The sequence below is a fragment of the Homo sapiens genome, chromosome 8 (assembly GCF_000001405.40).
Source record: "Homo sapiens chromosome 8, GRCh38.p14 Primary Assembly".
In the NCBI taxonomy this organism is placed as follows: Eukaryota; Metazoa; Chordata; class Mammalia; order Primates; family Hominidae; genus Homo; species Homo sapiens.
Window position 1 is genome coordinate 39,969,728 of NC_000008.11, and position 16,319 is coordinate 39,986,046.

At 42.7% G+C, this 16,319-nt stretch overlaps 1 protein-coding gene across 2 annotated transcripts in view, besides 2 other annotated features; it reads left to right on the forward strand.

Annotated features, from left to right (window-relative positions):
• The window catches only part of IDO2 (indoleamine 2,3-dioxygenase 2), an 81,742-nt gene that overhangs the window by 35,077 nt on the left and 30,346 nt on the right, over positions 1-16,319 (forward strand). For both annotated transcript variants that reach the window (NM_194294.5, NM_001395206.1), the window contains 3 exons: positions 9,340-9,459; positions 12,925-13,043; positions 15,781-15,795. In NM_194294.5, the coding sequence (NP_919270.3) occupies positions 9,340-9,459; positions 12,925-13,043; positions 15,781-15,795 (254 nt within the window). The remainder of the gene's footprint in view (positions 1-9,339; positions 9,460-12,924; positions 13,044-15,780; positions 15,796-16,319) is intronic.
• Positions 8,009-8,938: an enhancer, noted in NCBI's record as "H3K4me1 hESC enhancer chr8:39835255-39836184 (GRCh37/hg19 assembly coordinates)". NCBI's record gives its function as "activates a minimal SCP1, AML or CMV promoter by ChIP-STARR-seq in naive H9 embryonic stem cells {active_cell/tissue: H9 hESC(naive)}" and the evidence as "EXISTENCE:reporter gene assay evidence [ECO:0000049][PMID:30033119]".
• Positions 9,084-9,316: a silencer, noted in NCBI's record as "fragment chr8:39836330-39836562 (GRCh37/hg19 assembly coordinates)". NCBI's record gives its function as "represses an EF-1alpha promoter that drives an FKBP-Casp9 reporter gene in an ReSE screen in K562 erythroleukemia cells {active_cell/tissue: K562}" and the evidence as "EXISTENCE:reporter gene assay evidence [ECO:0000049][PMID:32094911]".

Sequence of the window (16,319 nt, forward strand, 5' to 3'; positions counted from 1 at the left end):
AGCCAGGCATGGTGGTGCACACCTGTAATCCTAGCTACTCAGGAGACTGAGGCAGAACAATCGTTTGAACCCTGGAAATGGAGGTTGCAGTGAGCCTAGATTGTGCGATTGCACTCCAGCCAGGGCAACAAGAGTAAAACTCCTTCTCAAAAAAAAAAAAAAAAATATCTAAAGCTAGAAATGATTAAGCTTGGTGAGAAAGTCATGTCAAAACCAGATAGGCTTAAAGCTGGGCCTCTTTTGCCAAACAGCCAAGCTGGGAGTGCAAAGGAAAAGCTTTTGAAGAAAATTAAAAGTGCTACTCCAGTGAACATACGAATGATAAGAAAGCAAAAGAGCCTTATTGCTGGTATAGAGGAAGTTTGAGTATTTTGGATAGAAGATCAAACCAGCCACAACTTCCCTTAAACCAAAGCCTAATTCAAAGAAAGGCCCTAATTCTCTTCAATTCTACAAAGTCTGAGAGGGCTGAAGAAGCTGTAGTAAAAAAGTTTTAAACCAGCAGAATCTGGTTCATGAAGTATGAGGCTAGAAGCCATCTCCACAACATAAAAGTGCAAGGTGAAGCAGCAAGTGCTGATGGAGAAGCTGCAGCTAATTATCCAGAAGATCCAGCTAAAATCATCAATGAAGGTGGCTACATTTATTTTTTATTTTTGTTATTTATTAATTTATTTATTTTGAGACAAAGTCTTGCTCTGTCCCCCAGGCTGGAGTGTGGTGGCATGATGTTGGCTCACTGCAACCTCCACCTCCTAGGTTCAAGCAATTCTCCTGCCTCAGCCTTCCCAGTACCTGGGATTACAGGCATCTGCCACAACGCCTGACTAATTTTTGTATCTTTGGTAGAGACGGGGTTTCACCACATTGGCCAGGCTGGTCTTGAACTCCTGACCTCAGGTGATCCACCCGCCTTGGCCTCCCAAAGAGCTGGATTACAGGCATGAGCCACCACGCCTGGCCAGTGGCTACATTTAAAAATAGGTGTTCAATGCAGACAAAACCATCTTTTATTGGAAGAAGATTCCAACCAGGACTTTTTTTTTTTTTTTTTTTTTGAGACAGAGTCTCACTCTGTCGCCAGGCTGGAGTGCAGTGATGCGATCTCAGCTCACTGCAATCTCTGCCTCCCGGGTTCAAGTGTTTCCCCTGCCTCAGCCTCCTGAGTAGCTGGGACTACAGGCACGTGCCACCATGCCCAGCTAATTTTTGCAGTTTTAGTAGAGACGGGGTTTCACCATGTTGGCCAAGATGGTCTCTATCTCTGACCTCGTGATCCACCCCCCTTGGCCTCCCAAAGTGCTGGGATTACAGGTGTGAGCCACTGCGCCCGGCCCAGGACTTTCATAGTTAGAAAAAAGTCAATGCCTAGCTTGAAAGGACAGGCTGACTCTCTTGTTAGGGGCTAGTGCAGCTGGTGACTTTAAGTTGAAGCCAGTGCTCATTTACCATTCCTGAAATCTTAGGGCCCTTACCAGCTATGCTAAATCTACTCTGCCTGTGCTCTGTAAACGGACAATAAGGCCTGGATGATGGCATATCTATTTACAGCATGCTTTACTGAATACTTTAAGCTCACTGTTGCGACCTACTGCTCAGAAAAAAATATTCCTTTCAAAATATTACTGCTTATTAACAATGCCTCTGGTCACCCAAGAGCTCTACTGGAGATATACAGGAAATAAATGTTGTTTTCATGTCTGCTAACACATTTGTTCTGCAACCTATGGATCAAGGGGTCATTTTGGCTTTCAAGTCTTATTATTTAAGAACTATACTTTGTAAGGCTATTCCTGACACAGATAATGATCCCTCTGAAGAATCTGGGCAAAGTCAAATGGAAACCTGGAAAGGATTCACTATTCTAGATACTATTAAAAGCATTCATGATTCATGGAGGACGTCAAAATAAAAACATTAATAGGAGTTTGCAAGAAGTCAACCCTCATGGATGACTTTGAGGGGTTCAAGACTTGAGCAGAGGAAGTCACTGGAGATGTCGCAGAAATAGTATGAGAACTAAAATTAGAAGTGGAATCTGATTTTATAACTGAGTTGCTGCAATCTTACGATTGAACTTTTCTTTTCTTTTTTTTTTGAGACAGAGTTTCGTTCTTATTGCCCAAGCTGGAGTGCAGTGGCGCAATCTTGGCTCACTGCAGGCTCTGCCTCCCTGGTTCAAGCAAGTCTCCTGCCTCAGCCTCCCGAGTTCCTAGGATTATAGGTGCCTGCCACCATGCCCACCTAATTTTTTGTATTTTTAGTAGAGATGGGGTTTTTCCATGTTGGCCAGGCTGGTCTCAAACTCCTGGCATCAGGTGATCCACCCACCTTGGCCTCCCAAAGTGCTGGGATTACAGGCGTGGGCCAACACCCCGGCTGCATGATTGAACTTTAAGAGATAAGTTGCTTCTTATGGAGCAAAGAAAGTAGTTGCACAACACAGAATTTACTCGTGGTGAAAATACTGTGTTTGAGCTGCTGTTGAAATGTTGCTGAACATTGTTGAAATGATAAAAAAAAATTAGAATGTTCCATAAACATAGTTGATAAAGCATCAGCAGGGTTTGAGAGGATTAACTGCAATTTTAAAAGAAGTTCTACTGGGTGCCGAGCGTGGTGGCTCACGCCAGCACTTTGGGAAGCCGAGGCAGGCGGATCACTTGAGGTTGAGTTTGAGACCAGCTTGGCCAACATGATGAAATACCACTACCTCTACTAAAAATACAAAAATTAGCTGGTCATGGTGGCAGGCTCCTGTGATCCCAGCTACTTGGGAGGCTGAAGCAGGAGAATTGCTTTAACCTGGGAGGCAGAGGTTGCAGTGAGTCAAGATCTCGCCACTGCACTCCAGCCCGGGTAACAGAGCAAGACTCCATCTCAAAAAAAAAAAAAAAAAAAAAAAAAAGTTCTACTGGGGAAAAAATGCTAACAAACAGATTGCATGCATGCAATGGATAAATCTCTTGTGAAAGGAAGAGTCAATTGATGTGGCAAACCGCCTTGTTTTCTTAAGCCACCCCAACCTTCAGCAACCAACATCCTGAACAGTAAGTAGCCATCAGCATCAAAGCAGGGCTCTCCACCAGCAAAGAGATTATGACTCACTGAAGGCTCAGATGATCATTAGCATATTTTAGCAATAAAGTACTTTATAATTAAGGTATAAAGTACTTTATAATGTACATTGTTTTTCTAGACATAATGCTATTGCACACTTTATAGTGTGAACATAACTTTTACATGCACTGGGAAGCCAAGAAATGTGTGTGATTTGCTTTATTGGGATAGTCACTTTATTGTGGTGGTCTGGAATTGAGCCCTGACTATCTCCAGGGTATGCCTGTACATACTGGGGTTGAACAATAAGTAAATAGATGATGGATGATGTTTCACTGTGAGTGAGGGAAGTTATAGATCAGCAAGGGGTAGGAGGGAAAGCTAGAATTAATAAGTGCCACTGGATTAGAGTTGGAGACATCAGTATGAAGTCATGTTTTGTTTAATATTTATAAATATATAAGAATGTATAATACTACTTACATATGCCTATATAATGAGTTATATGTATTTATATATACACACACATGCTTCCTAGATCTATCCACTGCAAGGATCTAGAATTAGTGACATCCCAGTAGCAATGAGCAAACCCACTGCCCAGATAAATACCCTTCTCCAATAACAGGAGCCTGGTCTTCTTGAAGAAACAGCTGATAATTTCCTTTCCTTAGGAAAGGAAACTGTAAGTATGTAAGAAATACTGTGAAACAATGAAATCAGTAAATTTTATGGTCATTATAATCATTGACAATGTGACTGTGAAATAAGAAAATAATTTATAAAATATTATAATAGCATTCTAATTGTGCATTGTGTGTAGGTATATATACTTGTGACCAAGTTGTGTTAAAATGATACAGCTAAACTCCATATTTCTTTTTAACAAAACTGGGGACATAGTGGAGTGAGAGCTGTAAAACGAAAATCATGGGTTTTCTTGTGTTTCGTTTTCTTCTTTTTTTTTTTTCTGAGATGGAGTCTTGCTCTGTCTCCTAGGCTGGGGTGTAGTGGCACAATCTCGGCTCACTGCAACCTCCACTTCCCGGGTTCAAGCGATTCTCCTGCCTCAGCCTCCCGAGTAGTTGGTATTACAGGCTCCTGCCACCACGCCCAGCTAATTTTTTATATTTTTGGTAGAGACTGGGTTTCACCAAAATCAGGCTGGTCTTGAATTCCTGACCTCAAGTGATCCACCTGCCTTGGCCTCTCAAAGTGCTGGGATTACAGGTGTGAGCCACTGTGCCCAGCCAAAATAATGTTTGTATTGGTGTGCTATGCCAGATTATAAAACAAATGAACCAGAAAAATAATATACAGTTAACAGCAAAGTAAGATTTTTCCTATCAGTTTTCATGACATGTTATAAAACCATAGAAATTCTGACCAGATGGCATCAGGGCAGCAATAAACAAGGGAACCAAAAACTTAATAGAGGACCTACATACAGACCCATGTGTGTATGGAATACATACTAAACATATGACAGGGTGAAATGTTGGGAACACGATGGTAAAAACATGAATAGTAATCCATACATAGAGTTGGCACATAGCAAAATGATTAACTGGCTCTGCTCTTTTCACCACAAACAAAAATAAATTCATTCAAGATGGATACAAACTTAAATGTCAAAATCAAAAATGTTTCATCTGTTGGAAGAAAATGTAGGAGAGTATCTTTATGTACTGGGATAAAGGAAGAATTTTCTAGGGCCCGGCACGGTGGCTCACGCCTGTAATCCCAGCACTTTGGGAGGCCGAGGTGGGTGGATCACCTGAGATCAGGAGTTTGAGATCATCCTGGCCAACATGGTGAAACTCCATCTCTACTGAAAATACACAAAATTGGCTGGGCACTGTGGCTCACACCTGAAATCCCAGTACTTTGGGAGGCCCATGTGGGCAGATCGATCACAAAGTCAAGAGATCTAGACCATCCTGGCCAATATGGTGAAAACTCATCTCTACTAAAAATACAAAAATTAGCTGGGCGTGGTGGCACGCACCTGTAGTCCCATCTACTTGGGAGGCTGAGGCAGGAGAATAGCTTGAACCCGGGAGGCAGAGGTTGCAGTGAACTGAGATTGCACGACGGCACTCCAGCCTGGTGACCTGGTGACAGAGCGAGACTCCGTCTAAAAACAAAACAAAACAAAACAAAAGCACAAAATTAGCTGGGTGTGGTGGCATGAGCCTGTAATCTCAGCTACTTGGGAGGCTGAGGCAGGAGAATCACTTGAACCCAGGAGGCAGAGGTTGCAGTGAGCCGAGATCGTGCCATCATGCCACTGTACTCCAGCCTGGGAAACAGAGAAAGACTCCGTCTCAAAAAAAAAATAAAGATTTTTCTAATATGGCACAACATTGGAGTTTTTTTTTTTGTTTTTTTTTTTTGTGACGGAGTCTCACTCTGTCGCCCAGGCTGGAGTGCATTGGCGTGATCTTGGCTCACTGAAAGCTCCACCTCCTGGGTTCACGCCATTCAACATTGGAGTATTTTTATGACATACTTGATATCCTTAAAACAGGACCTCTGTTCATCAAAACAGGCCAAAAGACAATGAAAGCCAAGCTACAAACTGAGAGAAGATATTGTCACACATATAAATGAAAAGAAGATTTGTATCCTGAATATACAAAATCTTGTAAATTGATTGGAAAAACAACCAAATAAAAAACAATGTTCAACAGACATTTTGTGGAATAGAAGACACAAGTTCCCAATATATCATCTGAAAAATGCAAGCTATCATTAATAGTCAAGAAAATGAAAGTTAAAACCATAATGGGATAGCATTTTATAACCATACAACTGAAAAATGCTTAAAGTCTGGCATGAACAGGTATTGGCAGGAATATAAAACACCTGAATCTTTTATTCACTGTGGGTACAACCTCTCTCAAAAACTGCTTGTCATTATCTGGCAATGTTGAAAATATAAATCCTATTAAGAACTTCCTTCTTGTCTATATAAATACCTTAGAGCTTCCTAGGCCTGTGTACCCTGAAAGGTATGAAAGTATCGTTTATCATAGCAAAAAAACATAAAATAACTGTGAAAATAAATAAACTGCAGATGCATCCAGTAATGATGAATGTCAAAGCCATAATGGTGATGAGAAAAGGAAATCATAGAATATCCTGTATTCAGTATAATTCTATTATGTTAAGTTCAAAAGCATTCAAACTAAATAACCAATATATTTTGAGATGGTGTCTCACTTTGTCCTCCAGGATGGAGTGCAGTGGGACCATCCTGGCTCACTGAAACCTCCACCTCCCAGGTTCAGGCTATTCCCCTGCCTCTGCCTCCCAAGTAGCTGGGACTACAGGTGTGCACCACCACACCTGGCTAATTTTTGTATTTTTATAGAGATGGGATTTCACCATGTTGGCCGCTTGTCTCAAACTCCTGACCTCAAGTGATCTGCCCGTCTCAGCCTCCCAAAATGCTGAGATTACAGGTGTGAGTCACTGTGCCTGGCCAATAATATATTGTTCAGTGATCATACATATATGAATTTTGAAGGATATATAAATAGCGAGGAAATAACAAATACAAAATTCAACAAATAGATACTCTCAAGGAGCAAGCAGGATATTACAATCAATGAGAGGTACACAGAGGGTTGCAAAAATTTTGGTCAAGTTCTATTTCTTAAGCTGAGTGATGAGTAAATAAGTGTTTACTTATGTCTACTCTTTAGGTTGTAAATAGATATTACATGTGTTTATATTCACGGTGTACAAATTCATGAAATGCTTCTAATAAATAGGAAGTTATAAGATGCATTTCAAAGTGTTCAGCAGAAAATAGTGCAAACATGTTGCCCTGAATCATGTTGCAGATTCTAAAGAAATGTTCACAATGGTTCCGAGAAGCTCCTCAAACTGCATTTTTGCTTTTAGAGGGAAAATCACATATTTGGCCCTCCCAAACTGAGGCCAGAGACTGTCAAAATGTTAGCTGAGTAGCATTAAGAAAAGGGCTGAAGGTAGAGTACCTTTCCATTTTGATGGAAACCCACAAATTAGTATTTCTGTTTTTAGTCCGATATTATTTCTATTAATTCATAGACTTTTAATACACCTGTCATCAGGGACAAATAATTTTGTGCTCATGTCCTCAAAGTCATTTACAATTCAGAACAAATTGACTTAGAAATAAAATGTGATTAATATTTTTTATTTATTTGTGAGAAAAGTATTAATAATTTTCTAATAATGTATCTTTCAAATGTGTCTAGACGTAATAAAAATAATTATATAACACTCAAAATAAATTATTAAACAACAATGAACTAAAAAAAATTTTAGAACATTTATATGAAAGATTAAGATCCATAATACAAAATGTATTCTATGAAATCAGTAAGATGAATGATTGATGGGGAAAGATGGGCAAATAATATAAGTAGTTAAGACAGTGAAAGATATTTGAATTGATGATAAACAGGCAAAAATGCTCAATCTCAAGAATAAAACAAAAATGCCAATGAAAACAATGAACTACCTGGTTTCGGCTAAGAGAGTGTCAATAAATTTAAAATGTACTTAATAAATAACTGCTGTTATAATGCTCACCTGGTTCTTGTTAAAAAGCAACATCTCAAGGCTGGGCATAAGTAAGCCTAGCACTTTGGGAGGCCAAGGCGGGAGGATTGTTCCAACCCAGAAGTTTGAGTTTGAGACTAACCTGGGCAACATAGTGAGACCCCCATCCCTACAAACAATTTTAAAATTAGCCAGATGCAGTGGCACATGCCTGTAGTCCCAGGTACTCAGGAGGCTGAGGCAGGAGGATTGCTTGAGCCCAGAAGTTCAAAGCTGCAGTGAGCTATGATTGCTGTACTGCACTCCAGCCAGGGTAACAGAGCAAGATCCTGTTTCTAAAACAAAACAAAACGAAACAAAACAAGTAACATCTCAACAGTACTCCCTCCTTCCAGCTGTGCCTCCCCTGCAAGCCTAGGGCACATTCTAGTTGTGATTCTGAAAGCCAATTTTATTTTTATTTTTAATTTTTGTGGGCACATAGTCGGTGTATACATTTATGGGGTACATGAGATGTTTTGATACAGGCATGCAACATGTAATAATCACATCAGAGTAAACGGAGTGTTTGTCACCTCAAGCATTTATCCTTTCTTTGTGTTACAAACAATCCAATTACACTTTCAGTTATTTTTAAATGTACAATGTTATTGTAGCCTCCTGTTGTGCTATCAAACACTAGCTCTTATTCATTCTATCTAGCTGTATTTTAGAACCCCTGGGGATGGTGAATGAGAGCTCATTTTTGGGAGGAAGAAGTGCGCAGTCTGGCCATGGGGAGGACAGCGGGTGAAGGACCAGCCTGAGGATACCCCAACCTCAACCCGGGCCTGCGCTGGAGGAGCCCCAGCTCTGTGCCCACGTGGCGGTGCCTGGAGATTAAAAGGACAACAAAAACACCCCCTGCCGCCCTCCTTTCTGGCGCTTCGGACCCGGGAGGGGACCACCCGGGAAGATCCAGATCAGTCTGTGTCTAGAGCTGGGGAGTGGGCTGGGGCGAGGGGAAGAGGCGAGCAGAGGGGACGCGCCTGGTAGCCGAATTCAGAGGCCGCTGCTGTCAGGCAGGGCAGCCCCGGGCAGCGCGGAGAAACTGCTGATACTTGTTTACCAAGTGTTGCTTTCAACCATGATACCGCCTTTACGCGTCACAGTGATGCTGTGTCTTCCCCATTATGGCAACAGGGCTATAGGCATGGAGGGCGGGGGTGGAGGGGGTGTGAAAAGCCCCAGGCAGCGTCAGGGGTTGTGCTCCTGCTCCTGTTTGATAGAGAGAGGAACACCCACCGCACAGGGCTGTTGCAGGGTCAGCGATAGCAAGCAGGCCACAGTGTTTGGATAAGACAGGCTTGTAAAAGTTGCCATGCAAGACTCCTAGGAAATAAGTCCGCTCAGTCCTGGGAGTTAAGTATCCTACAACATTCCAGCCAAGCAGTGGCTTCAGGGATGGAGACGGGAGGCTGCCACAGCCATGGGGACAAACTGTGGGCTCGGGTGGGCGGTTAGGTTCTTCCTGAGCAAAGTCGTGTGGACCACCTCCTATACTACAGGGTCCTGGGTCTGGGGATAAATGGGTGTGTGTGCGGGCTCTTTGTACCTTCATTAAAATATAACCCATTGCCTTCCACCCAAAGGTCCCTTCACATCCCAGGTCCCCGGCCCCCGTTACCTCCCCTGTCCCGGTTCCCATCCCTCCTCTGACGGCATTTGGACTTTCATGAACAGATGCCCCTGCTGAGCTGCCAGTTCCTGAAGGGTCACCGGGAGCAGCGCCTGGCCCACCTGGTCCTGAGCTTCCTCACCATGGGTTATGTCTGGCAGGAAGGAGAGGCGCAGCCTGCAGAGGTGAGGGCCAGAGAGCAGCTTCTCCTGTTACCCGGCAGGTTACCTGCGCCTGGAGTAACGTGCTCCCTGCTTGGTGCTACCCTGTTTTCCTGGAAAATGGGTACTTTCTTCTTCTCGATGGGCATCAGTTTAAGCAACGATGAAGGGCTCATTTATTATTTATTATTATTATTTTTTTATTTTATTTTGAGCCAGTCTCACTCTGTCACTCAGGCTGGAGGGCAGTGGGGTGATCTTGGCTCACTGCAACCTCCCCTTCCAGGTTCAAGCAATTCTCCTGCCTCAGCCTTTCTTGTAGCTGAGACTACAGGCACCCACCACCACACCTGGCTAATTTTTGTATTTTTAGTAGAGATGGGTTTCACCATGTTGCCCAGGCTGGTCTCGAACTCTTGACCTCAGGTAATCTGCCTGCCTGGGCTTCCCACAGTGCTGGGATTATAGGCGTGAGCCACTGCGTTCAGCCTGAAGGGCCATTTAAATGAAGGATTTTTTTATTTTAATTTTTCTGACTAAGAGCTAATTTGTTTTTTAAACTGGTAGCTATTTCTTCCTTTTATAAGCTTTTGAATGTTTGTTTGTTTGTTTTTGGCACTCTCTTCCAAGAATGTTTGAAGACCTGCATTTGAAGGCAGATTGCCTTTTTGCTTTAAAACAGGGTTGCACCATGTTGCCCAGGCTGGAGTGCAGTGGTGCAATCATAGCTCACTGCAGCCTCAACTCCTCCCAGGCTCAAGCAACCCTCCCACCTCAGCCTCCTGAGAAGCTGGGGCTACCAGCATGTACCGCCACACCCAGCTAATGTTAAAAATTTTTTGTAGAGATGAGGGTCTTGCTGTTTTGCCCAGGCTGATCTTAAACTCCTGGCCTCAAGTGATCCTCCTGCCTTTGCCTCCTGTGCTGGGATTACAGGCGTGAGCCACCATGCCGGGCCTGAAGACAGACTCTGAGAATTCATAAAAACCTCACAGCATTTTGTACTCTTATGTATATAAATTATCTAGGTTGCTCTTCATAATCCTGTAAAGTAACAAGAGCCATACCGGCCCATTTTACAACTGAAAAGCACAGACACTTATTTCCTTAATCAAGGTCAGACAGCAAATTAGTGGAAAAGCCAAGGCCAGAACCCAGGTCTTCTGATTTTACTAGTGCAGCCTTCTTTCCCCAGGGGACACATTGACATTTACAACACTCATCTTTATTTTTTTTTTAATACTGCTTTCTATCCAGCCAATTATTAGTCTGTCTTTTAATAATTCATCCAAATCTCTTCTGAATCATTGCATAACTTTGTACAGTTTCCACCCACAGTGTCTTTTACTTTTATTTTTGGAAGTAACTGTTTTTAAAAGTTACTGTTATTTTTAAAAGTGTGCCTTCCCCAGAAATCAGGGAGTTACCCATGTCCTAGAACTCCACGGTGAAGAGAACAGCCTGTGCCCATCGTGTTTGCCTGATTGATCCTACCTCTTGTCTCTCGGGGAAACACAGGAGACTCAGGGAAGAGGAAAAGTGTAGAGTCATTGCAGCCTTGTTATTTGTCAATGCATCTCTTTTCTTTTTCTTTTTCTTTTTTTGATACAGAGTTTCACTCTTGTCGCCCAGGCTAGAGTGCAGTGGCGTGATCTCGGCTCACTGCAACCTCGGCTTCCTGGGTCCAAGGGATTCTCCTGACTCAGTCTCCTGAGTAGCTGGGATTACAGGCACCTGCCGCCACGGCCAGCTAATTTTTTTTGTATTTTTAGTAGAGACGGGTTTCACCACGTTGGCCAGGCTGATCTCGAACTCCTGACCTCAGGTGATCCACCCACCTGAGCCTCCCAAAGTGCTGTGATTACAGGCATGGGCCCCAGCACCCGGCCAGTGCATTGCATTTTTTTTTTTTTTTTCGAGACGGAGTCTCACTCTGTCACCCAGGCTGGAGTGCAGTGGCACGATCTTGGCTCACTGCAAGCTCCGCCTCCCAGGTTCACGCCAGTCTCCTATCTCAGCCTCCCAAGTAACTGGGACTACAGGCGCCCACCACAACGCCTGGCTAATTTTTATATTTTTAGTAAAGACGGCGTTTCACCATGTTAGCCAGGATGGTCTCGATCTCTTGACCTCGTGATCTGCCCGCCTTCGCCTCCCAAAGTGCTGGGATTACAGGCGTGAGCCACCGTGCCCGGCGTGCATTTTTAAAAGTGTGTCTGATGCTGAAAAGTTTGAAGTCTAGGCACGTCCCAGTGGGTCCTCTTTATACCATCCCCTCTGCAAACCATTATCCTAAATTGGGGTTTGGGGGAGAGAAGAGTGACAGTGGAAAGAAGTCTCCACCTCCCAGCTGTGCCCTGGTAGTTCCAGGGGACCCGGAGGCTCCCCACACCCACCACCCCGCCTCAGATCACCTTTCACTTTCTTTGTTTCTCCTCCCTTGACTTTTCAGCTCAGAAAGTACCTGGCTCTCCAATGCCTTCTGAGGAAAGTTTACCCGAGGTTCACATTGCAAGACTCATTAAAGCTCTTTAGTGTTTTCCACCCGAGAAAAAATTCAAGGGAAAAATGAAGACAAAAGCAGGGCATTCTTAATGGATATTTTATCTTAAGGAGAAATGAAAATGGAGATGGAAGAGGGGGCACAAGGATGGGGTTTGAATCTAGACTCGTTCAGCCTTTACCTCCGATAGAGAACCTCATACAGCTTTTCTGGACTTCTGGCTGATAAAGAGCCGTGGAGGGTTCCTTGGATAAAAAAGGTTGAAGGGGGTCTGTCCTGTGGTGGCTTACTTGAAGGTATTACTGGGTTTGACTTATGGAGTAAGAGACGGAGTCAGTTTCCCCACAGGCTGAGGCAGTCTGTCCTCATGCTTTTCTAGGGCACTGTGGTCTCCCAGGCTCATACCTAGGTGCACACACAGGTTTCTGCATCTAGCTTTGTATCTCTATGAGTCGGTCAATCAATAAATCTATCTATCATCTGTCTACTGATCTATCATCTATCTATCTAGCTAGCTATCATCTCTCTATCATCTATCTATGTATCTATCATCTCTCTCTATATATGTGTGTATATATATATATATATGTATATATATATTTCTATCCTTCCATCTACTTACCTATCTATCAAAATTTTTTTCCGTTGATAATATTCTCGGGCCCCAGTTTATGTTTAATTGTTTTGGTAATGCCTTTCTTTGCACAGTCAGTTTACAGAGGTTATTTTATATTCTATATGTATGTGTGGTCCAGCGTTGTAATTTTCACATATATTGCACCGTGTACTCATAAGCAGTATTTCCACTGGGTCATTAACAGAAAGATATGTGTGCGGCATATGAATGTGCATCACTCAGGTAATTCAAGCTTGGTTCCCAGATCATTTCTGTACCACAGGATTGCCGAAATAAAAGACAACCATGGTTATTTCCTCTGCTGCAAGCTTTCTAGAATATGCTATTTGTCTGGATTTATATCTGAAAGGTCCTGCCAAGGAATCTTGCCCTTCCATTTGTCGAAGTCTCCAGGAACTTGGGGCTCCCTCCTATCCTGGTCCACTCAGACTTGGTGCTGACGAACTGGACCAAAAAAGATCCAGACGGGTAAGGAAGGAAGAGAATGCTTTGAATTTCCATAACTTTCCCCCAGGAAACACCCAGGCTTTTTTTTATAATTAGGGAAGTTCATATTTATGGTCTGCCGTATGGTTCCAAAGAAGGGGTGAGCTTGACCAAAAATTCAAATATCACAGGCCCCAGAAGTTTCCTCTTAATCCATTCTGAACACATTGGCTCAGACCATTTTGTCTTGTTTGTTTCCACATGACGTGTGAATTTCTCAACCTGACCTTCAAGCTCCTGCAAAATCAGCTTTTATTTGTTCTTTCTCTTCAAACTGTTTATTCCCTAAGATGCCCTCCATTCATATCAGGTTAAAACCAGTTGGCTTTGATAAGTAATCATTATATAATGATCAGAAGAGAATGATTATGGATGAATTCAGAGCAGATGCTCCAGGTGGGTTGGATTGAGAATTTGATTAATAATTCCATCTATTCCACCAAAGTCACATCATTCCTTTGACAGTTGGGCTGGGAATAGGGGCATTTGTCTACAGAAGGAATAGCATGAGATTTTAACAAACAAGAAATTCAACAAACAGAATTAGACAGATGATCTGAGATGTTAAATTTTCCTTTCACCTTAATTTTTGCAGCCAAATTTATTTCAGCTCTAGATGAAAGAGACAGCACTTTCTTTTGTGGCTGACTACAACAGCTGAAGATTCACTGAGGTTTGATATGAGGAAGAACTTCCTCAGCCATGGGATTGCCAGAGGCGATGATGGGAATCTACTTAAAAGGGTTACATATTTAGTAGACAGCCTAGATTTTAAGACTAATTTATGTGCCCCGGCCGGGCCCGGTGGCTCACCCCTGTAATCCCGGCACTTTGGGAGGCTGAGGCAGGTGGATCATCTGAGGTCAGGAGTTGAAGACCAGCCTGGCCAACATGGTGAAACCCCGTCTCTACTAAAAATACAAAAAAATTAGCCGGGCATGGTGGCACATACCTGTAATGCCAGCTGCTCGGGAGGCTGAGGCAGGAGAATTGCTTGAACGAAGGAAGTAGAGGTTGCAGTGAGCGAAATCATGCCATTGCACTCCAGCCTAGGTGACAAACTCTGTCTCAAAAGAAAAAAAAATTATGTGCCCCATTGGAAGAAGTGAGATTCGGCCATCTCATCTCTCTCGGGAGCTCTGAGCCCTGGAGTTTTATGTTTTCTGCAATTATGAATTGTGATCCTTGATTAATTATGCTTTAATAATAAAATGGGTGACTACTGAAAGCTGCTGAATCTGGGTAAGAATTTGGATGAAAAAAATAATATATGTGCGTAATTTATTCTGTTCAAGGTACTGAATATTGAATAAGCTGGATTTATTACTCAAAGAGAAAGACAGAATAAGAGAAGGTTGAAGGGAAAAATGACTGTACTAGAATGGTAGTCAAAAATGCAACAACAGGCAGGTGCAGCGGCTCATGCCTATAATCCCAGCACATTGGGAGGCCCAGGTGGGCAGGTCACCTGAGATCAGGAGTTTGAGACCAGCGTGGCCAACATGGCCAAACCCCCTCTCTACTAAAAATACAAAAATTAGCCAGGTGTGGCAGTGGGTGCCTGCAATCCCAGCTACTCAGGAGGCTGAGGCAGGAGAATCACTTGAACCTGGGAGGCAGAGGTTGCAGTAAGCTGAGACTGCACCACTGCACTCCAGCCTGGGTGACAGAGTGAGATCCTATCTCAAAAACAAACAAAACAAAACAAAACAATAACAAAAAAGCTATTAATAGCTTCCTAGGGAGTAAGAGTGAAGGGCTAGTTTAATTCCAGAGATGCGGACACAGTCCTGGGTCTCACCAATTATTCTGCTTGGTAATTACCTTTTGAAGCCTTTTAATATGCCTAACACAGAGCTAAGTGCTATGAAGAAATGAAAGAAATAGAAGCAAAGTACTCCCCATGTGGTTAAATAACAAGACACTACATGACAAATGTCAAAGAGTGACTCAAACAATATGTCCTTTAGAATTTCAGAGAAATGACATCAATGCAGGCTTTACAAGTCAGTAAAAATCTTGGTGATGAGGCAGAACTTGATGTAAGGCAAATCCTAAAAGTTGAGTAGGAATCAACTAGCTAGAATAAAATGTGGGGTTGTGGTAAATACAAAAATGTAAGATGAGTGAAATAACTTATTTATTTATTTATTTATTTTCAGAGACGGAGTCTCCCTCTGTCTCCCAGGCTGGAGTGCAGTGGCATGATCTCGGCTCACTGCAACCTCTGCCTCCTGGGTTTGAGCAATTCTCCTGCCTCAGCCTCCTGAGTAGCTGGGATTGCAGGCACCTACCACCACACCCGACTAATTTTTGTATTTTTAGAGAGATGGGGTTTTACCACGTTGGCCAGTCTGGTATCGAATCCTCGACCTCATAATCCACCTGCCTCAGCCTTCCAAAGTGCTAGGATTACAGGCATGAGCCACTGTGCCCAGCCTAATAATATATTAAGATGGCCACAGGCCAAATATTCTGGGGCTGGAATGTGAGTGGAAATGTCGCTCACCCTTTATCACATAGCACCCCATAGTCCAGCCACAACTTGCAGAATTCAAAGTAAGTGTGGATGTGTGTGTGCCTGCAGTGCCTTGCACACAAGTGTGCATGCCTGTGGACATGTGACCCTAGAAGTTATTAATATATCTGGTTTACAAACTGAATTGTTCTTTTATTTTTTTTCTCTCTTGGTGGTCATCAATAACTGAAATTGGGCTAGATTCCTGGAAATTGGGTAAGTTCTCAGAAATCATTTACGCACTTTAGAATCCAGGCCAAATTTAAAATCTTACAATAAAACAAAGAACAAAGCATGCTAAATTATATGTATAATATAATATCAACCATATAAAATGCATAAAAAATATACTAGAAGGAAATGTGCCTAAAATTCACAGTCTAAAATTTAACAGTGATTGCCTCTTCCTTGTATAGATAAGGGATTTTTTTTTACTGTATTTTCCAGTCTGTACATAATAAAACAAGTAATGTGCAATGCAAACAAAACAAAATGAAACTTTATCAAATTTCAGTAACTCCTTGAAGTTTAATTTTTTTTTTGAGACTGAGTCTTAGTCTGTTGCCCAGGTTGGAGTGCAGTGGTGTGATCTCGGCTCACTGCAACCTCTGCCTCTGGGTTCAAGGGATTCTCCTGCCTCAGCCTCCCGAGTACCTGAGATTACAGGCACCCACCACCACACCTGGCTAATTTTTGTATTTTTAGTTGAGACAGCGTTTCACTATATTGGCCAGGCAGGT